The 13,976-nt window shown below is 43.7% G+C and overlaps 1 pseudogene, besides 2 other annotated features; it reads left to right on the top strand.

Annotated features, from left to right (window-relative positions):
• Positions 146–1,071: an enhancer, noted in NCBI's record as "H3K27ac-H3K4me1 hESC enhancer chr5:126084980-126085905 (GRCh37/hg19 assembly coordinates)". NCBI's record gives its function as "activates a minimal SCP1, AML or CMV promoter by ChIP-STARR-seq in naive H9 embryonic stem cells {active_cell/tissue: H9 hESC(naive)}" and the evidence as "EXISTENCE:reporter gene assay evidence [ECO:0000049][PMID:30033119]".
• Positions 2,204–2,253: an enhancer, noted in NCBI's record as "active region_23024". NCBI's record gives its function as "activates an Ori minimal core promoter by ATAC-STARR-seq in GM12878 lymphoblastoid cells {active_cell/tissue: GM12878}" and the evidence as "EXISTENCE:reporter gene assay evidence [ECO:0000049][PMID:35858748]".
• HSPE1P10 (heat shock protein family E (Hsp10) member 1 pseudogene 10) lies at positions 12,275–12,593 on the top strand (annotated as a pseudogene).

Raw genomic sequence — 13,976 nt, 5'->3', positions numbered from 1 at the left:
GCTTTCCTTCTTTCCTATTCTAAAGCCGTTTTAAACAAACTTCTATTCCTGCTCCGAAACTTGTCTCGCTCCTTATGCCCTTCAGTAGAATTCTTTCTTCTGAGAAGGCAAGAACCAAAGTTGCTGCGTACCTATACAGATGTAAGGCTGGATAGGTGGCTGGTAACTCAGGGTGGCTCTGATCTCTTCCGCTGGTAACATTATTGTCAGCGGAAACTGACAATTCCCGCCACACTGAGTGAGTCCTCCAGCACCAGAACCCTGACCAATTCACCTTTGCATCCCTAGTGCCTAGCATCATTCCTGCTATTAGGAAGTTCAATAAATATTTATCAAATAAGCATATCATTTATCTTCCCTACTAGACTTTTCTTCTCAGAGAGATTAAGAGCCACGTGGACTTAAACTTTAGATTGGACACAGGTCTGACAAATTAGATGCACAGGGAAAGGACTTAAAACATTTATTTAGGGCCGGGCGCGGTGGCTCACGCCTTTAATCCCAGCACTTTGGGAGGCCGAGGCAGGTGGATCACGAGGTCAGGAGATCGAGACTATCCTGGCCAACACGGTGAAACCCCGTCTCCACTAAAAAAAAAAATACAAAAAATTAGCCGGGCATGGTGGCGGGCGCCTGTAGTCCCAGCTACTTGGGAGGCTGAGGCAGGAGAATGGCGTGAACCCGGGAGGCGGAGCTTGCAGTGAGCCGAGATCGCCCCACTGCACTCCAGCCTGGGCGACAAGGCAAGACTCCATCTCAAAACAAAAAAAAATTTTTTTTATTTAACATATATTTGTCAAATTAAATAAAAAGTAGTATGTTAAGAAAAAACAAAGATATTTCAAATACAGAGTCTACAGTGAAGTTGTGGAGACTGAACAAGGAATATATTTTTTAAAACAACCAGGGTGGGCCTGGTGGCTTATGCCTGTAATTCCGACACTTTGGGTGGCTGAGGTGGGTGGATTGCTTGAGCTCAAGAATTTTGGCAATATAGAAAGACCGCGTATCTATAAAAAATCAAAATAAATTTTAAAAAAGAAAAAAGCCAGGCGCGGTGGCTCAGGCCTGTAATCCCAACACTTTGGGGGGCCAAAGCGGGCAGATCACGAGGTCAGGAGTTCGAGACCAGCCTGGCCAACATGGTGAAACCCCGTCTCTACTAAAGATACAAAAAATTAGCGGAGCGTGGTGGTGCGCACCTGTAATCCCAGGTACTCGGGAGACTGAGGCAGAATTGCTTGTACCCGATAGGCAGAGGTTGCAGTGAGCCAAGACTACACCATTGCACTCCAGCCTGGGCCACAGGGCGAGACTCCGTCTCAAAAAGGAAGAAAGAAAGAACGAATGTAAAGAAAGACTGAAAGAGAAAGAAAGAAAGGAGAGAGGGAGGGAAGAAAGAAAAGAAAGGAAGGAAGGAAGGATGGAAGGAAGGAAGGAAAGAAAGAAAGAAAAAAGAAAGAAAGGAAGAAAGAAAGAAGAAAGAAAGAAAGAAAGAAAGAAAGAAAGAAAGAAAGAAAGAAAGAAAGAAAGAAAAAGGAAGGAAGGAGAGAGGGAGGGAAGAAAGGAAGGAAGGAAGGAAAAAGAAAGAGAAAGAAAGAAGGGAGGGAGGGAGGGAAGAAAGAAAGGGAAGGAAGAAAGGAAGGAGAGAAAGAAAGAAAGAGAAAGAAAAAGAGAGAGAAAGAAAGAAATAAATAAAAAAAGAAAGAGGGAGGGAGAGGGGGAGGGAAGAAAGAAAAGAAAGGAAGGAAGGAGAGAAAGAAAGAAAGAGAAAGAAAAAGAAAGAAAGAAAGAAAGAAAGAAAGAAAGAAAGAAAGAAAGAAAGAAAGAAAGAAGAGAGAGAAAGAAAGAAAGAAAAGAAAAAGAACCACAACCCACTAAAAATCCCTGGGTTTTGTGCTTGGAGCCAAAGAAGTAGCCTTCAATGCAAGCGCCACTGAAGGGAAATCCTGGTGGGCTGGGGATCTGGGGGCGGGCCTCAAGTGAGAAGTAGAACCTACTCTGACTGTGAAGCCTGAGCAAGAGTCAGACACAACGACAAACCAACCACTTCCACCTACACAGGGTTCCTAAATAGTCACCACCCCCACTCTTTTCAGTTGGATGATGAGTCAACTAAAACTCTCATCAAAGCTGCCAGGCTTTTTGCCCCCTGCTGTTTTTAGACCCAAGACGAAATCCTCAAGGTACTGAAGGAGATCAGAATCTGCCACCCCCAAATATGCCACTTCCGCATAAAGATGATTTTGAGCTGATGGCAATTAGGAAGCAGCACATGAAGGAAGAACTCCGTGTCCTCCCACTTTCTGCCTAAAAGCAGGGCATAAAATCCTCCTTCTAAAGGTGTTTTCCTTTTCTATATCAGAGAGAGGAAAATGACTCTTATTTGCATAACAAGGCTTACTAAACGACACTTATCTACTATACATTTCCTGGTCACCTTCCTGCCATTTACCACTTTTAGAAGGCCAAACTCTTTTTCCTCTGTCTGGTCACTTCTCCACCAGTTATTGCTTTTCATTAAAATGGTATATAAGCCCTTGGGTCTAACTACCTCTTTGGGTTTCCACTTTATTTCTGTAAAGTCCCCGTGCACATACAAATGTTAACATTAATAAATGCTATGATTTGAATATTTGTCCCCTCCAAAACTCATGTTGAAATTTAATTTTCAGGCCAGGTGTGGTGGCTCACACCTGTAATCCCAGCACTTTGGGAGGCTGAGGCAGGTGGATCACCTGAGGTCAGGGGTTCAATACCAGCCTGGCCAACATGGTGAAACCCCATCTCTAGTAAAAATACAAAAATTAGCCAGGCATGGTGGTGCACACCTATAATCCCAGCTACTCTGGAGGCTGAGGCAGGAGAATAGCTTGAACCGAGGAGGCAGAGATTGCATGAGCCAAGACCACGCCACTGCACTCCAGCCTGGACGACAGAGGGAGACTCCATCTCAAAAAAATTTAAAAAAGAAAAGAAATTTAATTTTCAACGTGGTAATACTGACAGGTGGGACCTTTAAGAGGTGAATAATGAATTAGTGGGATAGTGTGGTAATGGGACTGGTAGCTTTATAAGAAGAGGAGGATCTGAGCTAGCATGCCCAGCCCCATCACCATGCAATGCCCTACACTGCCTTGTCACTCTGTAGAGAGTCTCCACCAGCAAGAAGGCCCTCACCAAGTGCAGCCCTCTGACCTTGGACTTCTCAGCTTCCATAACTGTAAGAAATATTTTTTGTTGGCGGAGCACGGTGGCTTACGGCTGTAATCCCAGCACTTTGGGAGGCTGAGGCGGGTGGATCACGAGGTCAGGAGTTGGAGACCAGCCTGGCCAATATGGTGAAACTCCATCTCTACTAAAATACAAAAATTAGCTGGGCATGGTGGCACGCACCTGTAGTCCCAGGTGCTTGGGAGGCTGAGGCAGGAGAATTGCTTGAACCCGGGAGGTGGAGGTTGCAGTGAGCCAAGATCGCGCCACCACACTCCAGCCTGGGCAACAAGAGTGAAACTCTGTCTCAAAAACAAAAACAAAAAATAAATATTTTTTGTCTATATATTATCCAGTTTCCAGTGTTCTGCTCTAAGCAACAGAAAACAAAGAGAATAAAGTAACGTATGCCTTTGCTACTGTTAATGTCTTTTGTGAGTTTAATTTGCAGGCCCCAGTTACTAAACCTAAGAGGAAAGGTTTTGTTTCATTTTGTTTTGTTTTTCTCCCTTGCAGCCTAACAAAAAACAAAACAAAACAAAACAAAACAAAAATAAACTTCTCCAATAAAATAGTATGCTTGAAGAAGGAGTTACTTACTGTTTTTGGCCAGTGTTGACTAAAGGGTTAACTCAGCATCTACCCCTTCCAAGGAGTCTGTGTGGGAGGAGAGAGGAGAGGACTGATTACATTCTTTCTCCACACAAGCTTTCACCTATCCTCCTCCTGAAAATAACTCTTTATCTAGAACTTAAGTGGGATAGGGTCTAATGGAATTTCATGTGTGAAATTTTTATTTTTTTAATATGAGAAAAAGAAACAACAAACTAGTGCAGCAAATGCCACTGAATTGTACACTTAAAAAAGGTTAATGGTTCATTTTATTTCTGTGAATTTTACCTCAATAAAAAAATGAATGAAACTACCTTAATTTGGTATCTCTGAAAATCTTTCCTGGTCATGAAATTTATCCATCCTCTTTTGTGTTTGTAAAGGGCTGGATCAAAACTGAAAAGAATTTAGCCCTGTGAAATGGCTTGGACACAAAGTTTGAGGTGTGGTCCCAGCTCTGCTTCATCTTGGGGATCCTTTACTCTCGATATGCCTCCATTTCTATTATGAAATAGCAGATTTGAATATTGGATCTCTTCCAGTTGTAAATTGTTTGATTTAGAATCAAGAGGTGATTTATATCTCTATTGTTATTTTTCAGTAGGGCTCATTTTACATTGCATTATTCTGTAAGCCTAGAGACTGTGATCTGATATAAGCCTTGAAACCCAAGCAAATCATTTTTACTGGTGTCTCCTTACCTAGGTACTCATTCATCCAGAAAAACCAACCAAACAAACAAAAAACAAAAAGGCCAGGCACTGTGGCTCACACCTATAATCCCAGCCCTTTGGGAAGCGGAAGTGGGTGGACGGATCGCCTGAGCTCCAGACCAACCTGGACAACATGACGAAACCCTGTCTCTACGAAATAAACAAAAATTAGCCAAATGCGGTGGTGCATGCCTGTAGCCCCAGGCACTGGGAGGCTGAGAAGTGAGAATTCCTTGAGCCCAGGAGTCTGAGGCTGCAGTGAGCTATGACTGCACCACCGAATTCCAGCCTGGATGACAGAGTGAGACCTGTCTCAAAAAACAAACAAACATAACACAAAATGAAAACAGTAACAATTTAACATATTCCAAGACACAAAACCCAATTCTATCCCCAAGAAATTTGCAGTCTACTGATCATTACATAACTGCAGTGGGCCCTCCCTCTCTGTGAGTTCAGCATTTGTGAATTCAACCAACTAGGGATTGACAATATTTGGAAAATGCTTTGGCATGGTGGCTCATAGCTGTAATCTCAGCATTTTGGGAGGCTGAGGTGAGTGGATGACTTGAGCCCAGGAGTTCAAGACCAGCCTGGGCAACATGGCAAAACCCTGTGTCTATAAAATATACAATAATTAACTAGGAATGGTGGTGCATGCCTGTAGCTCCAGCTGCTCAGCAGGTGAGAATGTGAGCTGGAGTCATAGCCTGAAAAGCCTCATATACACTATTATTCCTACCACGAAGATGAAGAAATCAGGCCTAGCATCAGAAACATGTGGCTCCCTACAATCTTACTTATAAAGAGAAAAATAGAATTATCTTACAGTGGAGAAAACTGGCAAACACATCCTTATCCTGAGATCAAAGTTAAAAATCACCAGATCAGAAGAAATTGACGTCATGTGCTTACTGGATATAATGCACTGAGAATTCTGTGAAGTTTTTGCCAAAAATACCTCCTCTGAATTTAATCATAAGGCTCCAGCCAAACCCAAACTTGAAGGACACTCTAGAAAATAAATGACCAGTATTTTTCAAAAATATTAATGTTGGCCAGGTGTAGTGGCTCATGCCTGTAATCCCAGCACTTTGGGAAGCTAAGGTGGGAGAACTGTTTAAGGCCAGCAGTTGGAGACCAGCCTGAGCAACATAGCAAGACCCCATATCTATTAAAAAAATTAATGTCATGAAAGAAAAAAAAGAAATTGATCGTTTCCAATTAAAGACAACTAAAGAGACATATTCACTGAACACAATACATGATGTAGGATTTCTTTTGCCATAAAGAACATTATTTGGACAACTGGAAAGATCTGAATAAGATCTATTATCAATAATAATATTGTATCAATGATAATTTCCTGACTTTCTGGTTATGTAAGAGAATGTCCTTATCTTTTTTTTTTTTTTTTTTTTTGAGACGGAATCTCGCTCTTTCACCCAGGCTGGAGTGCAGTGGTGCAATCTCGGCTCACTGCAGGCTCCGCCCCCTGGGGTTCACGCCATTCTCCTGCCTCAGCCTCCTGCGTAGCTGGGACTACAGGCGCCCGCTACCTCGCCCAGCTAATTTTTTGTATTTTTAGTAGAGACGGGGTTTCACCGTGTTAGCCAGGATGGTCTCGATCTCCTGACCTCGTGATCCGCCCGCCTCGGCCTTCCAAAGTGCTGGGATTACAAGCGTGAGCCACCGCCCCCGGCTGAGAATGTCTTTATCTTTAGGAAATAGTCACTGAAGTACTAAGGGGTAAAGCCTAAAAAAATTTAAAACGCTGGACATGGTGGCTCACACCTGTATTGGAGTACTTTGGGGGGCCAAGGTGGGAGGATTGCTTGAGGCCAGGAGTTCAAGATTAGCTTAGTCAACATAGCAAGACGCCGACTCTTAAAACAAAAGAAAACAAAACAATTTTTTTTCTTTTTTCTTTTTTTGAGACGGAATCTCGCACTGTCACCCAGGCTGGAGTGCAGTGGCACGATCTCAGCTCACTGCAAGTTCCACCTCCCAGGTTCACGCCATTCTCCTGCCTCAGCCTCCCAAGTAGCTGGGACTACAGGCACCCGCCACCACGCCCAGCTAATTTTTTGCATTTTTAGTAGAGACAGGGTTTCACCGTGTTAGCTAGGATGGTCTCGATCTCCTGACCTTGTGATCTGCCCACCTCGGCCTCCCAAAGTGTTGGGATTACAGGCGTGAACCACCACAACCGGCGTTTTTTTTTTGTTTTGTTTTGTTTTGTTTGAGACAGTGTCTCACTCTGTCACCAGGCTGGAGTGCAGTGGCGGGATCTCAGCTCACTGCAACCTCCCCCTCCTGGGTTCAAGCGATTCTGTCTCAGCCTCCCGAGTAGCTGGGACTACAGGTGTGTGCCACCATGCCTAGCTAATTTTTGTATTTTTAGTAGAGACAGGGTTTCACCATGTTGGTCAGGCTGGTCTTGAACTCCAGACCTCAAGTGATCTGCTTGCCTTGGCCTCCCAAAGTGCTGCGATTACAGGCATGAGCCACTGCGCCTGGCCTTTTTTTTTTTTTTTTTTTTTTTGAGATGGAGTTTCACTCTTGTTGCCCAGGCTGAAGGGCAATGGTGAGATCTCGGCTCACCGCAACCTCCGTCTCCCAGGTTCAAGTGACTCTCCTGCCTCAGCCTCCCTAGTAGCTGGGATTACAGGCATGCACCACCATGCCCGGCTAATTTTGTATTTTTAGTAGAGACGGGGTTTCCCCATGTTGGTTAGGCTGGTCTCGAACTCCTGACCTCAGGTGATCTACCCTCCTCGGCCTCCCAAAGTGCTGGGATTACAGGCATGAGCCACCGCACCCGACCTGACAGACATATTTTATTTAACAGTTTGTTGGCTTAACTTGTAACTTTTAAATATTTTGACATAAGGTATGTGGGATCTCCATTTATCCTTCAGTCCCAAGCCCACTATTGTTATGGGTGGGTGCTTCACAGCCTGTGAAAGAGTGGAATAACAGTTCTCTACTGGAAAGCAACCAATCTTTTTGCTGGCTGAACCTGAAAACACTTGTACTATGTAAAACATTTCTTTTGCCGTTGAGTTGCCTTTAGTACTCACAGGTATGTCATGAGTGGTCACAGTATGCCATGAGAGAGACACTCTCCCTGGTCTCTTTTATTTTCCCAGTTTCTACCCATTTGTTCTCCCTGATAAACTCCAGGCTCCAACCTGTTGACATACACCACACAGTAGGGGTCCTTGACACTGCGGCCACTGGTTCCATCCTGGGAGGACATCAGGCCTTAACATTCAGGTTCATCTGCAGCATCTACAAGCAGAAAATAAACCTTTCTCTTGCTAAAATTGTTTGCCTTTGATGGCATAAGTTCTGGGGCCTTATATTAAAAATTTGGGGGTGGAGGGTGTTACACAGGACAGAAAATCCCTTTCTTTCACATTTGGTTATGAAAACTTAAAAACTTTTCATTATCTTTATGCAATTGATATTTTGTAAGTACCTGGTGTCAAAAGAGTGAACAGACAACCTGCAGATTGGGAGAAAACATTTGCAAGCTGTGAATCCAACAGGGGACTAATATCCAGATTTTACAAAGGACTCAAACAACTCAACAAAAGACGACAAACAATTTATTTAAAAAAGATATAAATAGGCTGGGCATGGTGGCTCATACCTGTAATCCCAGTACTTTGGGAGGCCGAGGCGGGCGGATCACAAGGTCAGGAGTTCGAGACCAGCCTGGCCAATATGGGGAAACCCCCATCTCTACTAAAAACACAAAAATTAGCTGGGCGCCTGTAGTCCCAGCTACTCTGGAGGCTGAAGCAGGAGAATTGCTTGAACCCAGGAGGTAGAGGTTGCATTGAGCTGAGATGGCACCACTGCACTCCAGCCTGGGCAACAGAACAAGACAAGACTCCATCTCTAAATAAATAAATAAGTATCAGCGCCCTTTCTGCTCAGATATCCCTCTCCCTACATATAGAGAGCTGTTTCTCTTTCTCTTCTCTTCTGCCTATTAAACCTCTGCTCCTAAACTCCTTGTGTGTGTCTGTGTCCTAAATTTTCCTGATGGGAGACGATGAACCCCAGGGTATATGCCCCAGACAATGTAGCCACTTCATACTGGGGCCCTCATCCGGGATACCAAGGTACAACATTCATTGAAACGCAACATCTGGTGGAGGCAAACCAGGGTTACCACCCATTGGAATGGCTGACAGCAATCTAACTCCAATGGTGCTGTAGACAGAACCACGAATGGACACAATTTTCTTCCGAGGATGCTTAGATCGACCACAGGAGGAGCCCTAGCTGCTGTTCCCCATACAACACCCCTTTTCGGCAGGATTAGCCAGAAATAATCATCGTCCAACACCCCTAACAGCAGTTAGGGTTACCACTCCGGAGAGGGGAATGATACAGGAGGAGTTAAGATGAAATTACTTGGACAGATAATAAAGGTATGGGAGTCCTCAGCAAGGCTTTTTTTTTTTTTTTTTTTTTAGATGGAGTTTCGCTCTTGTTGCCCAGGCTGGAGTGCAATGGTGCGATCTCCGCTCACTGCAACCTCCGCCTCCCAGGTACAAGCGATTCTCCTGTCTCAGCCTCCCAAGTAGCTGGGATTACAGGCGCTGCCACGCCCGCTAATTTTTTGTATTTTTAGTAGAGACGGGGTTTCACCACGTTGGCCAGGGTGGTCTCAAACTCCTGACCTCGTAATCTGCCCGCCTCGGCATCCCAAATTGCTGGGATTACAGGTGTGAGCCACCGTGCCTGCCGGGTTGTTTCTCATTCTCTTCTCTTCTACCTATTAAACCTCCGCTCCTAAAAATAAAAAATAAAAAGAAATCCCACAGATAATCCCATTAAAAAGTAGGCAAGTGGGCAAGGGACATGAATAGACATTTTTCAAAAGAAGACATACAAATGACCACCAAGCCCATGAAAAAATGCTCAACATCACTAATCATCAGAAAAGTGAAAATTCAGCTAGGCAATGTGGCTCACGCCTGTAATCTTAGCACTTTGCGAGGCCAAGGGGGGTGGATCACCTGAGGTCAGGAGTTTGAGACCAGCCTGGCCAACAGGGGCAAACCCCGTCTCTACTAAAAATATTTTTTAAAAATTCACCAGGAATAGTGGTACACACCTGTAATCCCACCTACTCGGGAGGCTGAGACAGGAGAATCTCTTGATTCCGGGAGGCAGAGGTTGCAGTGAGCTGAGATCGCACCACTGCACTCCAGCCTGGGCGACAGAGCAAGACTCTGTCTCAAAAAACAGAAAACAAAAAGACAAAACAACAACAAAAAAGGAAAATGAAAATTAAAACCTCAGTGATATATCATCTTACACATTAGAATGGCTATTATTAAAAAGACTGGGCAGGCTCAGTGGCTCAAGCCTGTAATCCAGCACATTAGGAGGCTGAGTGGGGAGGACCTCTTGATCCCAATAGTTCCAGACCAGCCTGGGCAACATGGTGAGACCCTGTTTCTACAAAAAAATTGAAAATTAGCTAGGTGTGGTGACATACAAGACCTTGTTTATAAAATAAATAAGTAGATAAATAAATAGACTAAAAATAACTGATGGTGAGAATGCAGAGAACAGAACACTTACACATTCTAGGTGGGAATGTAAGTTAGTTCAACCTCTATGGAAAATAGTTTAGAGATTTCTCAAAGAACTAAAAATAGAACTACCATTTGACCCAGTGATCCCACTACTGGCAATCTACCCAAAGGAAAAGAAAAGAAATAGTTGGCTGGGCACAGTGGCTCAAACCTGTAATCCCAGCACTTTAGGAGCGTGAGGTGGGAGGATCCCTTGGCCCAGGAGTACAAGAACAATCTGGGCAACATAGCAAGACTCTATCACTCTCTCTCTCTCTCTCTCTATATATATATATATTTTATATATATATAATATATATATATTTTATATATATAATATATATATATATGCTGGGCATGTATATATATAATATATATATTTTATATATATTATATATAATATATATATTTTATATATATTATATATAATATATATATTTTATATATATTATATATAATATATATATTTTATATATATTATATATAATATATATATTTTATATATATTATATATAATATATATATTTTATATATATTATATATAATATATATTATATTTTATATATATTATATATAATATATTATATATAATATATATTATATATAATATATATAATATATATATAAAATATATATATTATATATATAATAATATATAAAATATATATATTATATATATAATAATATATATATGCTGGGCATGTTGGCATTTGCCTGTAGTCCCAGCTACTTGGGAAGCTGAGGCAGGAGACCAGGGAACAGGAGTTTGATGTTGCAGTGAGCTATGATGGCACCACTGCACTCCAACCTGGGCAAGAGCATGAGACCCTGTCTAAAAAAAAAAAAAAGAAAAAAAAAAGAAAGAAAGAAAGAAAAGAAAATATAAAAGAAATCACCATACCAAAAAGAAGATACCTGCATTCATACGTTTATTGCAGCCTGAGCCTAGGAGTTCAAGACCAGCCTGGCCAACATAGTAGGACTCTGTCTCCATAAAAAAATACAAAAATTGGCCAGGCGCGGTGGCTCACGCCTGTAATCCCAGCACTTTGGGAGGCCAAGATGGGTGGATCACGAGGTTAGGAGTTCGAGACCAGCCTGGCCAACATGGTGGAACCCCGTCTCTACTAAAAATACAAAATTAGCCAGGTGTGCACGTCTGTAATCCCAGCTACTTGGGCGGCTGAGACAGGAGAATTACTTGAACCTGGGAGGTGGAGGTTGCAGTGAGCCGAGATCGCACTACTGCACTCCAGCCTGGGCAATAAGAGTGAAACTCCGCCTCAAAATAAATAAAATAGAATACAATAAAATAAAAATACAAAAATTAGCCAGGAATGGTGGCACAAGTCTGTGGTCCCAGCTACTCGGGATGCTGAGGCAGGAGGATCACTTGAGCAGGGGAAGCCAGGATTCAAAGAAAGTCAAATACCATGTTCTCACTTATAAGTGGGAGCTAATCTCAGCTACTCTGGAGGCTGAGGCAGGAGAATCGTTTGAACCCGGGAAGCGGAGTTTGCAGTGAGCCGAGATCATGCCACTGCACTCCAGCCTGGGCGGCAGAGCAAGACTCCATCTAAAACAAAAACAAAAAACAAAAAAACAAAACAAATAAGTGGCAGCTAAATAATGTATATACATGGACATAGAGTGTGGGATACTATACTTTGGAGAGTTGGAAGACTGGGAGGGTGGGAGGGGGAGGAACGATGAGAAGTCACTTAATGGGTACAAGTTACACTATTCGGGTGATGGTTACATTAAAAGCCCAGACAATATATCCATGTAGCAAAACCTCACTTGTATCCCTTGAGTTGGAGGGTTGGAAGACTGGGAGGGTGGGAAGGGGAGGAACGATGAGAAGTCACTTAATGGGTACAAGTTACACTATTCGGGTGATGGTTACATTAAAAGCCCAGACAATATATCCATGTAGCAAAACCTCACTTGTATCCCTTGAGTTGGAGGGTTGGAAGACTGGGAGGGTGGGAAGGGGAGGAACGATGAGAAGTCACTTAATGGGTACAAGTTACACTATTCGGGTGATGGTTACATTAAAAGCCAAGACAATATACCCATGTAGCAAAACCTCACTTGTATCCCTTGAGTTTATACAAAAAAGGGAAAGAGGTCTCTCCTTGCGGCGCTGCACGAGAGCAGAGTACGAGGCTGCGGCGGAGGGAGTCATGTCGGGACAAACCTTTAGAAACTTTCTTCCACTCTGACCGAGTATCGGTTGAAAGGAGTACTGCCGAAACTGTAACCAAAGGAGGCATTATGCTTCCAGAAAAATCTCAAGGAAAAGTACTGCAAGCGAGTAGTCGCTATTGGATCGGGTTCTAAAGAAAAGGGGAGAGATTCAACCAGTTAGCATGAAAGTTGAAGATAAAGTTCTTCTTCAAGAATATGGAGGCACCAAAGTAGTTGTAGATGATAAGGATTTTTTTTATTTGTTTATTTTTTTTAAGACAGTCTCACTCTGTCGCCCAGGCTGGAGCGCAGTGGCGCGATCTCGACTCACTGCAACCTTCGTCTCCCGGGTTCAAGCCATTCTCCTGCCTCAGCCTCACGAGTAGCTGGGATTACAGGCATCCGCCACCACGCCCAGCTAATTTTTTTTGTATTTTTGGTAGAGACGGGGCTTCACCATGCTTGCTGGCCAGGCTGGTCTTGAACTCCTGACCTCAGGCGATTCGCCTGCCTCAGCCTCCCAAAGTGCTAGGATTACAGGCGTGAGCCACTGTGCCCAGCAGGATTATTTCTTATTTAGAGATGGTGACTTTTTTTTTTTTTTTTTTTTTTTTTGAGACGGACTCTCGCTCTGTCTCCTGGGCTGGAGTGCAGTGGCGTGATCTCAGCTCACTGCAACCTCCGCCTCGGATTCACGCCATTCTCCTGCCTCAGCCTCCCGAGTAGCTGGGACTACAGGCGCCCGCCACCACGCCAGGCTAATTTTTTGTATTTTTACTAGAGACGGGGTTTCACCGTGTTAGCCAGGATGGTCTTGATCTCCTGACCTCGTGATCTGCCCGCCTCAGCCTCCCAAAGTGCTGGGATTGCAGGCGTGAGCCACCGCGCCCGGCCGAGATGGTGACATTCTTGGAAAGCAAGTAGACTGAAATAAGTCACTATTGAAATGGCATCAATGTGAAGCTGCCCATTCCACTGAAGTTCTGAAATCTTTCATCATGTAAATACTTTCCATACCTTTTATTGACCGTGCCCGGCCAATAAAAGGTATTTTAAAGAAATCTAGGCGTTGTGGCTCACGCCTGTAATCCCAGCACTTTGGGAGGCCAAGGCGGCCAGATCACGAGATCAAGAGATCCAGACCATCCTGGCCAACATGGTGAAACCCTGTCCCTACTAAAAATACGAAAATTGGCCGGGCGTGATGGTGCTCGCCTGTAGTCCCAGCTACTAGGGAGGCTGAGGTAGGAGAATCGCTTGAACCCGGGAGGCGGAGGTTGCAGTGAGCCAAGATCGCGCCACTGCACTCCAGCCTGGGCGACAGAGCAAGACGCTGTCTAAAAAAAAAAAAAAAAAAAAAAAAAAAGCTGTTAAATGTGTTAGTTTTGTAATTTTGGGGGGCTTTTTAAAAAGGTAAGGTCTGAGTTAGTCATTCATGGAGAGCCTGAAAAGGTTAATTAGAAACAGCTGGAGGCAGGTAATGACCTTAAAACCCTAAACAGCACCCAGAGCAGAAGCTAAGCACCCTCTGGATCGCCCCTGGGGTTGCAGCAGGGAATGGTCCTCAGTGTCAGCTTGGGACTACAGATTCCTTCACTAGCAACTACAGCTACTTGTGGATCCACACCACCTAAGACAGCACCAT

The sequence above is a fragment of the Homo sapiens genome, chromosome 5 (genome assembly GCF_000001405.40).
Source record: "Homo sapiens chromosome 5, GRCh38.p14 Primary Assembly".
NCBI classification, from domain to species: domain Eukaryota; kingdom Metazoa; phylum Chordata; class Mammalia; order Primates; family Hominidae; genus Homo; species Homo sapiens.
Note: the sequence above shows the minus strand (reverse complement) of the source record. Positions and strands in the feature narration are given on the sequence as shown.